Source organism: Homo sapiens, chromosome 9 (genome assembly GCF_000001405.40).
Source record: "Homo sapiens chromosome 9, GRCh38.p14 Primary Assembly".
NCBI lineage: Eukaryota > Metazoa > Chordata > Mammalia > Primates > Hominidae > Homo > Homo sapiens.
The window spans coordinates 7,755,891-7,765,206 of NC_000009.12; the positions used below are offsets into that span (position 1 = coordinate 7,755,891).

Here is a 9,316-nt window from a genome sequence, read left to right on the forward strand (position 1 = left end):
GAAATCATCAAGATTCAGGTTCCAGCTTTGTTCTTTTGCCCTAACAAGGGAGGCACAGTGCAGTGAAAATTGTAAACATTTTGATGTCAAAGTGATCTGTGTTCAAGTCCAGGTCTTTTAAGATGTGTGACATTGGGCCAGTGACTCAATTTCCCCCAATTTTGATTTCCCTATCTATAAAATGAAATGAGTATTCTTACTTCATTGTGAGAATTAACTTAGAACACTGCTGTAGCATGTCTAGTTCAGGAATGGTATATAGTAAGTGCTCAATAAATATTATTCTATTCTTTTGCTTTCCCTGTAAACCTTTGGCTTTCTTCTATGCTTCAATTGTGGGAAACCCCCAAGCCTTTGTCTTGCTGGCATCTCAGACTCAGTAGGTCTCAAGATGAGTCATTTCCTTTACCTCTAAACCAGCTCTCTGTTGCTCTGTTTCAACTTCCATTTTAAACAGCACCACCATTTTTTCAATTAATAGACTCACCCCTATACTAGTCACCAGACCTCATCAGTCACCAAGTTTTATTGGTTTCCTTCTCTGATGTCTGAAATAGCCTCATTACACCTTGCAAATCCATACTTTTAAAGTTATGGAAGCATCACAAATGTCAAAGCAGCCATTGAGGAATTTAGAGTAGATGTCTACTTGGTGAAAGCAGGCTTTAAAGATTTATTTTAAGCCCACTGTTGCTAGAGGTGAGGCTCAGAACTGCTACAGAACTGAGGGTCAGGACAGGAAGACAGTGGAGTGTAGGGATTCCCATAGAAACGAAGCCAGATAAATGGAACTTACATCAGAAGGAAATTTTCTTGTTTACTGAAAGCTGAGGGCTTCAGACTTTGATCAATCCAATGATTCTTAGACATACTTTACCAAAGTTGAACCCACACTTTGCTTTGAGCCTTTTGCTTACTGGATTAAGGATTATTAATTTTTTTCCACCTTTTATCCCATTTAATATTTGAGAATGCTGAAGCCCAACAAGGCAAAATGATTTGTCCAAAGTTTTCCAGCAGGTTAGCCAAAAATGTGTTAGTTGCTCTATTTCTTCTCCTCTCAGAGCTTAGCTCTGTGCAAGCCAATCTGAAATAAATGGAACATCTTTGACTCCATTATCTTCTGAATATAAATGCTGACGTATGAATGTTGATGCCCAGATTTGGATTAATTGTGGCTCCTACCTGATCATTGCAGGGCCTTGGCTGTCAGCACCCAGAATACTCTACTGGTTATTTCTGAGAGAACTAAGGAGAAAGAAGCAGCTCACACACGTGCAAGGACAAGTTCACTCATGCTTGCATTAGACCTGACCAAACTACTTGCTGGGCATCTGGGAGAATTGTGGCCTGTCTACCAGTGCTGTGTGCTGCATGCACTCCTGCTGTTTCACTGGGCCCAGACCTTCTCCTCTGGAAGACTTGCTGAGTCCTCGGGGTGTCATGACTGCTTTGAGACCTAGGCTAAGTATGGGTGGTGGTAAGAAAGTCCTTTTTTCCTTAACTCAATTTCACACTTGCTTACTTAGGGCCTGAACCAGTTTTGCTTATGCCCAAGGTCTTACACATCTTCCAAACACTCTTCCAGGTTCTGGCCACACTTCTTCCTCCCTTCATCTTAACTGAAACAAATAAGCAATTAATCAAATAAATTTCTGTCCCCCAGGAAGAAGAGATACCATACCTCTCCTCCACTGGCATCATCTCTCCTCTAGTGCTCTTTGAAAAAAACAAACCAACAAAGCTTTTTTCCTTTTTCCAAATAAATACTTGGGCAAAGAGGTATCCCCAACTCCCACTTGGGACATGTCTATGATTCTAAGCTCCAACTTAGCCAGAATTCCTTATTATTTTGCAAAACTTCTGTGCGATGACAACCATGTGTATTAGTGGGTTCGTATTTGTCATGTTTCTGATGCTGAGACCAGTCGCTGGCTTATGCATAGTAGAGACTCAGTAAAGACATACCTTTTAGGAGAGGTCTCCTGGTGGCACCAGGCCTTGCAAAAGAATGCTATGATCTTTGCCAGTTTGATTCCACAGGGACCAGTCATGTAGACAACAGCAAAACCACGAGTCTGAGGCCACAGCCTACACTTTGCCCAACATATCTGTGTTTGGGTAGGGCTATAGGGGTGGGCAGTCATGTATGTAGGATACATATTCTTGAGACTCATTTTGGGTATGGGTTCCTCCAGGAAGCCTGCCCTGATTCCCAGTATGAGTTACGTGCACTCCGTAGCATTCCCATTGAACACTTCACTTGTCTCCATCATAGTATTTTCCATTCTGTGCTATGATTATTATTTAATTATCCATAATTCTCCACTGGGCTATGAAGTGGCCTATTTTATTTGCTTTTGTAAACCTAGAAGCTGATATGAGACCTGGAACTTGAGGAGTTGGATGGCTTTTTATTGCTATGCAAAAACATAAATAAAGAAAATTAAAGCTCTCAACATGGATTATACATCCCCCACCTCTTACCCCTGTCTGCTTCTCCAGCTTTATCTTCCTCTTTGCTCATTTCTCAAAGCTCAAGTACATTGGCTTCTTTCAGATCCTTAAATATGCTATGTTCCCTCCTGCTAAAGGAAGTTTTCCTACTTTGGCCCTCATAATCTAAGCTCTCAGTTCATATTCCACTTTCTTAAGAAAGGCTTCTCTGCTTCTGCCTTACTCTAATGCATGCAACACCCATCACCTCCTACCTCACTCTTTCCATTCCAGGTCCAGATTAGGTTCCTTTGTTATGAGAGCTCACAGAATCATGTTCTGTGTCTTCCAAGCACTCACCTTGTAACTACACTCATGGCTGTGCTTTGTGATGAATCTTCCTGCCCACACCTCTTATTACATTTTGATTCCCCAAGAAAAGGGAATTGTATAGTATATTCCAAATGATCAGCACAGTGCCTGACATACAAACTGTGACAAATTAATATTGTAGAATAAATAAAATGTTTGCTGCATGGGTAAATGAATGAATTAATGAATTCAGATAAATTATGCCAGGCCACTGAAGGCAGAGAGAAGACTGTTAGAGCTCAAAATACCTCAGTTTTTATTGTATTATTTTGTTAAATTTAGATAAGTGGCCTTTTTATGAGCTCCAATAGCAAATTTGCTTAACGATTTCAGGTGCACCATGAAAATATTTATGAAATGTATTTTCCAGGATGAGAAAATAAAACTAGGGTTAATTTTTAAATTAATAACATGACTAAGGCAAAACCCTAATACAGTTGCTATATACTTATACATGTATTTAACCAGTATGCAGGTAGAATTAGTGATGTATTCATGATTTTCAAATGCTTCCTACTGGCATATGCGGATAATCTGAAAGAACATTTAATAGGATATACTTAAACTACTAAGATACTTAAAATAATTACACTTTTAGAAGAAAGCCACAGAGATATTTGAGGAGCCAGTTCAAAGGACTTACAACTTGGTGATTATATTGGCAGAGCTAATGTTTTATAATTAAAGCAGAATACAGTCATGCCTCATATCCATGGGGGATTGATTGGTTCTAGGACCCCCTTGGATACCAAAATCCATGGATGCTCAAGTCTCTGATATTAAATGGTGTAGTATTTGCACTTAACTTACTCACATCCTCCTGGATACTTTAAGTCATCTCTAGAATACTGTAATTTAACCTAATACAATGTAAATGCTCTATGTATAGTTGTTATACTGTATTGTTTAGGTAGTAATAAAATCTGTACATATTCAGTACAGACACAATCATTTATTATTTTTTCCCAAATATTTTTGATGTGAGTTTGTTTGAATCCAAACAATGCAGAACCACAGATACAGAGGGCCGACTGTACTTGTATTTAACACAACAAAGGTATTTATTATCTGGGGGAAGCTCATAATTTGTCAAGAAGGACATAGACTTTAGTGTCATCCAAACCCAGATTTGCATCCTGATTTCACTGCTCTCCAGCTGCGTAAAGTTGGGTAAGACAGCCATATTGGCTTTCTTTCTTTTCCTTGAAATTCACAAGTCCCTCTTGCTTCAAGGATTTTGCCTTTGGCTGGGTCTTTCTCATCCTTCAGATTTCAGATCATATTTTTTTTCTCTGAGAAAAGGCTGTTTTCAGTTCCTTGGGCAGCTGATTCTGACATGCTGATGTGTTTGCAGAAAGTTGATTGGGAAATGCCCTTGGGAATAATACTTGTGAAAGAGTAAGGGAAGTAGGATTGGGCAGAGAGAGAAGTTGAGCTTTGATGTACTCACAACAGAGGCCTCAGCCAATCTCACAGGGAGCTCAGGAGTGGGATAGGCTTTCAGAATTGTCCTGTATTTGGCATCCAGTGTCCTATCAACCAGGCATCAGATGCAAGCTGCCCCCTGGGAATGGGGAGTCACGGGAGTGAAGTAGCTTCCTTCAGCCAAGGACAATTCCCAGAGTGATTCAGCTGTGAGCCCATGGAAGCCAACATTGCAGCAGCTGGGACCTCAAGTCCTGAAGGGGATCAGGGTGATGCAGCACAGCATCTGCTAGAGGCCAGGCGGGATAGACACCTTTGTACACTGCATTCTATCACATCCCTCTGTTTATTTCTATTTTATCATACCATGTGTTTTAAAATTAATTGATCCATTTGTTCATTGCCTGCCTTCTCTACTCAAGAAGTAGAGTTATCTCTTGAGGGCAAATACATTACCTATCAGAGAACAATGTGTACTTAGTAAGTACTGATTGAATAAATGAAGGGTGAATGAATGAGTTAGGTCTCTAATATGAACTCTACATCACTTGCCATCAAAATTAGGATGTCCAAAGCTTACTGTACAGAGTAAGGGGTCATTTTACAAAGTAGCTACATCTGTAGTATGTGGAAGGAATAAATGAACACTAGAATCCAGTTCTCATTCTGAAAGTAGAAATAGAATATGGTCTCAAATTGTAATATCAGATCCATTATAATTTCCAAGTAAGTTTTCCAAAGGAAAAAAAGTTAAATGTTTTATTCTAATTAGTAAAGTAACAGATGTGTTATTGTGGAAAATGTGGGCAATACAAAAGCTATAAATAAGAAGATAAAATTTATCCATTACCAAAACACAGAGAATGACGACCACTGTTAGTATATTATGATATGTTAATTCTCAACTTTTTTCCCATTTCTATTTTCTAAATAATTGAATCATACTGCTTCTATAGGGTGTTTTTTTCCTTCAGAATCATATAAAGTTTTTGAGGTCATCAAAATCCTTTAGGAATATCATTTTTAAAGGACTACTTTTTAGTTCTTTAAAATTAAATTCAGTTGCAACATTATTATTTAAGCCTACTACCATGATAATTATATTGTTTCCATTTTTTGTGATTACAATTTCAAGTAAGTCTTTCTTATAATCAGATTTATTAATGATTATTCTTTTAAACGCTCAGATGATCTAATTTGTTAATCATATGCCTCATTTGTCAGTTAGATCAAATCACTCCCTTTCATTAAAGTCTTTTATCAGAAATAATACAGTAGAAAAAAATCGCTAAGCTAAAAGTAAGGCATTCTGGGTTAGAATCCAGGTTGCCAACTTACTAGATGTAGTCTTGGGAAAGTAATGTGCTATTCTACCTGGGGCCTCAGTTTCTTTGATTGTAAAATGGAATGATTGAACTAGATAATCTTTGAAAACGCTTTTCACTGTGGTATCCTACGCTATTATGACTGCTTCTTACTTTCTCCCAGAAACAAGCTTCATGGGCTCAATTTCAGGCCTCTTTGACATTCTGAGTTAACTACAAATCTTCTCTGATTTCCTGTATTTCTGATTTAATTTCTGACCCTTTATCCAATTTTGGCTGGTCCTTAATCTTCTTATCTAGGTCTTACTATTGTTCCTTCTTTCACTGCTATCCATTAAACTGAAATGAACCCTCTCTTCTTGATCTTTTACCCACTCAGTACCTAATTCTTCTTTAATCTTTTCTCAACATTTAATGTTATTTTTTTCTGCAAAACTGTTTGATGTTCAGTGCTCACAAAGATTGTTCAACTTTCTGCTTTCTCTTTTTCTGCAAAAATAAATGCAAACAAAAAGTTGGGTAAAAGAATGAAGGGAAGTAAAGTTAAACCAAGTAACATGATATAGCACACATCTGGCGTTTTTAATACATTTTGTCTGTAACAGACTCTATGTGGTATGGGGATTGGGAGTGAGGGTGTGGGAAGGGGCAGGATATGCTGAGGACAGCCTGAAAGGCCAAAGAGTATTTCAGTCAGTGAGGAAGGTTAATTGAGGCCCATGCATCACATTACTCTTAATCTTCTAATAAAAATGATGATAGTAGTCGGTAATTGGTAACATTTTAAATTGCTTTTTATGTGGCAGGTGTTATACTAAGTGCATGAACATACAATGTCTTCCTAAATCCTCAGAAACCCCTGTGAGGTGGAAATTATTATTACCTCCAATTGGTAGATGGGGAAACTGGTATTAAAATCATTTTACTATATTATAACAAATTTACAGTAAATATATAAAATCCTAGGAGTGTAGTTAGCATAATGGCAGATTTGGGTTATACTGTGTATCAGAATGTTTTATGTTTCAAGTCGTCTCAACTAGGATTTATGCAAAATCAGAGCCTGAGGAAAGGATTTAGCAAGATGATTCCAGGAATCGGAAGTGAGGAAAGTGAGAGAGAGAAAGAGGGAGAGCAAAATAAGGGTCATGGAGACCACCACTGCAGGCATCTCCAGAGAGTAGTCTGTCTCTGTCTCTCAAGATCAAATCCCCTGGAAGTGCAAAGACTGGCATTCATTCTTTAGTTACATACTATCTTTTCTGAAAATGGGTTTTCAGAAAATAAAAATTTGGGGATGTTGATAGGCAAGATAAGGGCTCACTTCCTTTTTTTATGCTCCACTATACTTGCTTCAAAGACGTTGCATTTTTTACACATTGAAGGTTTGTGGTAACTCTATGCCTAACAAATCTATAGGACCCATTTTTTTCAATAGCATCTGCTAACCTCATGTCTCTTGCTCACGTTTTGGCCATTCGTACAATATTTCAAACTTTTCCATTATTACTGTAATGATTCTGCTGATCTGTGATCAGTGATCTTTGTGGTTACTACTGTAATTGTTTCAAGGAAGCATGAATTGTGCCCATACAAGACGCTGAATGTAATCAATCAAGGTTGTGTGTATTTTGACTGCTCCACTGACCTGCCATTACCCTGTGTCTCTCCGTTTCTTCAGACCTTCCTATCCCCTGAAACACAACAATAATGAAGTTAGGCCAATTAATAACCTACAAACGTCAGGCACAGTGACTCATACCTGTAATCCCAGCACTTTGGGAGGCCGAGGCAGGCAGATCACGAGGTCAGGAGTTTGAGACCAGCCTGGCCAACATGGTGAAACCCCGTCTCTACTAAAAATACAAAAATTAGACAGGTATGGTGGTGCCTTCCTGTAATCCCAGCTACTCAGGAGGCTGAGGCACGAAAATCGCTTGAACCCGGGAGGTGGAGGTTGCAGTGAGCTGAGATTGCGCCACTGCACTCCAGCCTGGGCGACAGAATGAGACTGTCTCAACAACAACAACAACAACAACAATAAGCTACAATGGCCTCTAAGTGTTCAAGTGAAAAAGTAAGAGTCTTACATTCTCTCACTTTAAATCAAGAGCTAGAAATGACTAATAAGGAAGGCACGTTAAAAGCTGAGTTAGGCTTTTATGCCAGAGTTAGCCAAATTTTGAATAAAAAGGAAAAGTTATTTAAGGAAATTAAAAGTGCAACTCCAGTAAACACATGTACAATAAGAAAGCAAAACAGCCTTACTGCTGATGTGGAGAAAATCTAAGTGGTCTGGACAGATGATTAAACCAGCCACAACAAAACCTAATCCAGAGCAAGGCCCTAAGTCTCATCAACTCTATGAAGGCTAAGAGAAGTCAGCTACAGAATGAAGTTTGAAGCCAGCAAAGGTGGGTTCATAAGATTTAAAGAATGAAACCATCTCCATAATGTAAAATGCAAGGTGAAGCAGCAAGTACTGATGTAGAAGCTGTAAGTTTTCCAGAAGATCTAGCCAAGATCATTAATGATGGTGGCTACACTAAACAACACATTTTCATTACAAACAAAACAGCCTTCTGGAAGAAGATGCCATCTAGGACTTTCATAGCTAGAAAAGAGAAGTTGATACCCGGCTTTAAGATGTCAAGGGACAGGCTGACTCTTGTTAAGGGCTAATGTAGCTGGTGACTTTTTTAATTGTGAAAGGAAAATAAAATCTTGAGACCCCAATTCATTATGCCAAAAGGAAAAATTAAGCTGAAAGCTGAGCCGTGCAAGTAACTGCCTTTCCTTTTGTTCCTAAGCAGGTAGGCAAAGGTAAAAGGCCAGATATTGCCACAGGTAGCTACTCTGTGTTCACTTACATAATTTACTATTCTGCCTACCTGAATCCTTACAAGATATGGATTCAGTAATGCAACTGTACTGTACCTCTTTCCCTTCCAGCCTGCTTTCCCCCTTTAAATATTGAAGCCCTCAAAATCATCTTTGGAAAAGGCATGGACCATAGATTGTTCCTGTGGTTCTGTGTTCTTTTTTCCTGGGCATGTCCTTATCCATGGAAAAATAAACTTCTAAATTGATCGAGACCTGTCTCAGATACTTTTCAGTTTACATGTTGAAGCTAATGTTCATTTACAATTCTGAAAATTCTGGGACCCTTAAGAATTATGCTAAAGTTGAGTCTGAATTTGGGCAGCTCATCACCTTCCTGCATCATTTGTGCCTCTTCTATAAGGTAAGAAACTTTTCCAGGCTGAGGATCTGAGCTCCTACCAGCCCCTAGTTCTCAGAGTTCTTAGATCACTGTGGGTCTCATCTCCCTCTTTTCTAACTCTGATCCAGTCGCTGCATGTGCTTTTTAAATGGAATAACAATGCCTGGATGACAGCACATCTGTTTACAGCATGGTTTACTAAATATTTTTAGCCTACTGTTGAGACCTACTGCTCAGGAAGAAGGATTCCTCTCAAAATATTCTTTCTCATAGACAGTATACCTGGTCACCCAGGAACTCTGATGAAGATGGACAAGGAAATTTACGTGGCTTATTTTTTAATGTCTGCTAACACAACATCCATTCTGTAGCCCACAGATCAAAGAGTAATTTCAACTCTCAAGTTTTATAATTATAAAAATGCATTGCATAAGGCTATAGCTGTCATAGACAGTGACCCCTCTGGTGGACCTGGGCAAAGTAAATTGAAAACCTTCTGGAAAGGATTCACCATTCTAGATGCCAGAGAGAACAT

At 38.7% G+C, this 9,316-nt stretch overlaps 15 annotated features.

The window, feature by feature from the left end:
• Positions 261 to 1,460: an enhancer, noted in NCBI's record as "BRD4-independent group 4 enhancer chr9:7756151-7757350 (GRCh37/hg19 assembly coordinates)". NCBI's record gives its function as "activates an origin of replication core promoter dependent on BRD2, P300/CBP, MED14 and CDK7 cofactors, and independent of BRD4, by STARR-seq in HCT116 cells {active_cell/tissue: HCT116}" and the evidence as "EXISTENCE:reporter gene assay evidence [ECO:0000049][PMID:35650434]".
• Positions 275 to 324: an enhancer, noted in NCBI's record as "active region_28211". NCBI's record gives its function as "activates an Ori minimal core promoter by ATAC-STARR-seq in GM12878 lymphoblastoid cells {active_cell/tissue: GM12878}" and the evidence as "EXISTENCE:reporter gene assay evidence [ECO:0000049][PMID:35858748]".
• Positions 445 to 534: an enhancer, noted in NCBI's record as "active region_28212". NCBI's record gives its function as "activates an Ori minimal core promoter by ATAC-STARR-seq in GM12878 lymphoblastoid cells {active_cell/tissue: GM12878}" and the evidence as "EXISTENCE:reporter gene assay evidence [ECO:0000049][PMID:35858748]".
• Positions 1,768 to 8,460: a meiotic recombination region, noted in NCBI's record as "this region was identified as a recombination hotspot within the HapMap CEU population". NCBI's record gives the evidence for it as "EXISTENCE:nucleotide sequencing assay evidence [ECO:0000219][PMID:20981099]".
• Positions 1,768 to 8,475: a biological region, named in NCBI's record as "meiotic recombination hotspot U".
• Positions 1,990 to 5,189: a meiotic recombination region, noted in NCBI's record as "crossovers mapped in sperm cells of males of European and African ancestries; recombination frequencies vary with PRDM9 genotypes, with PRDM9 A/A > PRDM9 A/N, where N is a non-PRDM9 A allele. Low recombination frequencies are observed with some PRDM9 alleles". NCBI's record gives the evidence for it as "EXISTENCE:DNA detection assay evidence [ECO:0005519][PMID:20818382]".
• Positions 2,002 to 8,475: a meiotic recombination region, noted in NCBI's record as "this region was identified as a recombination hotspot within the HapMap YRI population". NCBI's record gives the evidence for it as "EXISTENCE:nucleotide sequencing assay evidence [ECO:0000219][PMID:20981099]".
• Positions 2,121 to 2,136: a nucleotide motif, noted in NCBI's record as "nucleotide motif; similarity to the predicted 16-mer PRDM9 C-type binding motif, CCNCNNTNNNCNTNNC".
• Positions 2,487 to 2,502: a nucleotide motif, noted in NCBI's record as "nucleotide motif; similarity to the predicted 16-mer PRDM9 C-type binding motif, CCNCNNTNNNCNTNNC".
• Positions 2,515 to 2,530: a nucleotide motif, noted in NCBI's record as "nucleotide motif; similarity to the predicted 16-mer PRDM9 C-type binding motif, CCNCNNTNNNCNTNNC".
• Positions 2,695 to 2,707: a nucleotide motif, noted in NCBI's record as "nucleotide motif; similarity but not exact identity (7/8 nucleotides) to the predicted 13-mer PRDM9 A binding motif (LD hotspot motif), CCNCCNTNNCCNC". NCBI's record gives the evidence for it as "COORDINATES:motif similarity evidence [ECO:0000028][PMID:20818382, PMID:19165926]".
• Positions 2,795 to 4,757: a meiotic recombination region, noted in NCBI's record as "meiotic double-strand break mapped by DNA meiotic recombinase 1 chromatin immunoprecipitation followed by single-stranded DNA enrichment and sequencing in the germ cells of some male individuals with the PRDM9 A/A and PRDM9 A/B genotypes". NCBI's record gives the evidence for it as "EXISTENCE:chromatin immunoprecipitation-seq evidence [ECO:0000229][PMID:25395542]".
• Positions 4,526 to 4,546: a nucleotide motif, noted in NCBI's record as "nucleotide motif; similarity but not exact identity (7/8 nucleotides) to the predicted 13-mer PRDM9 A binding motif (LD hotspot motif), CCNCCNTNNCCNC". NCBI's record gives the evidence for it as "COORDINATES:motif similarity evidence [ECO:0000028][PMID:20818382, PMID:19165926]".
• Positions 5,027 to 5,039: a nucleotide motif, noted in NCBI's record as "nucleotide motif; similarity but not exact identity (7/8 nucleotides) to the predicted 13-mer PRDM9 A binding motif (LD hotspot motif), CCNCCNTNNCCNC". NCBI's record gives the evidence for it as "COORDINATES:motif similarity evidence [ECO:0000028][PMID:20818382, PMID:19165926]".
• Positions 6,259 to 6,274: a nucleotide motif, noted in NCBI's record as "nucleotide motif; similarity to the predicted 16-mer PRDM9 C-type binding motif, CCNCNNTNNNCNTNNC".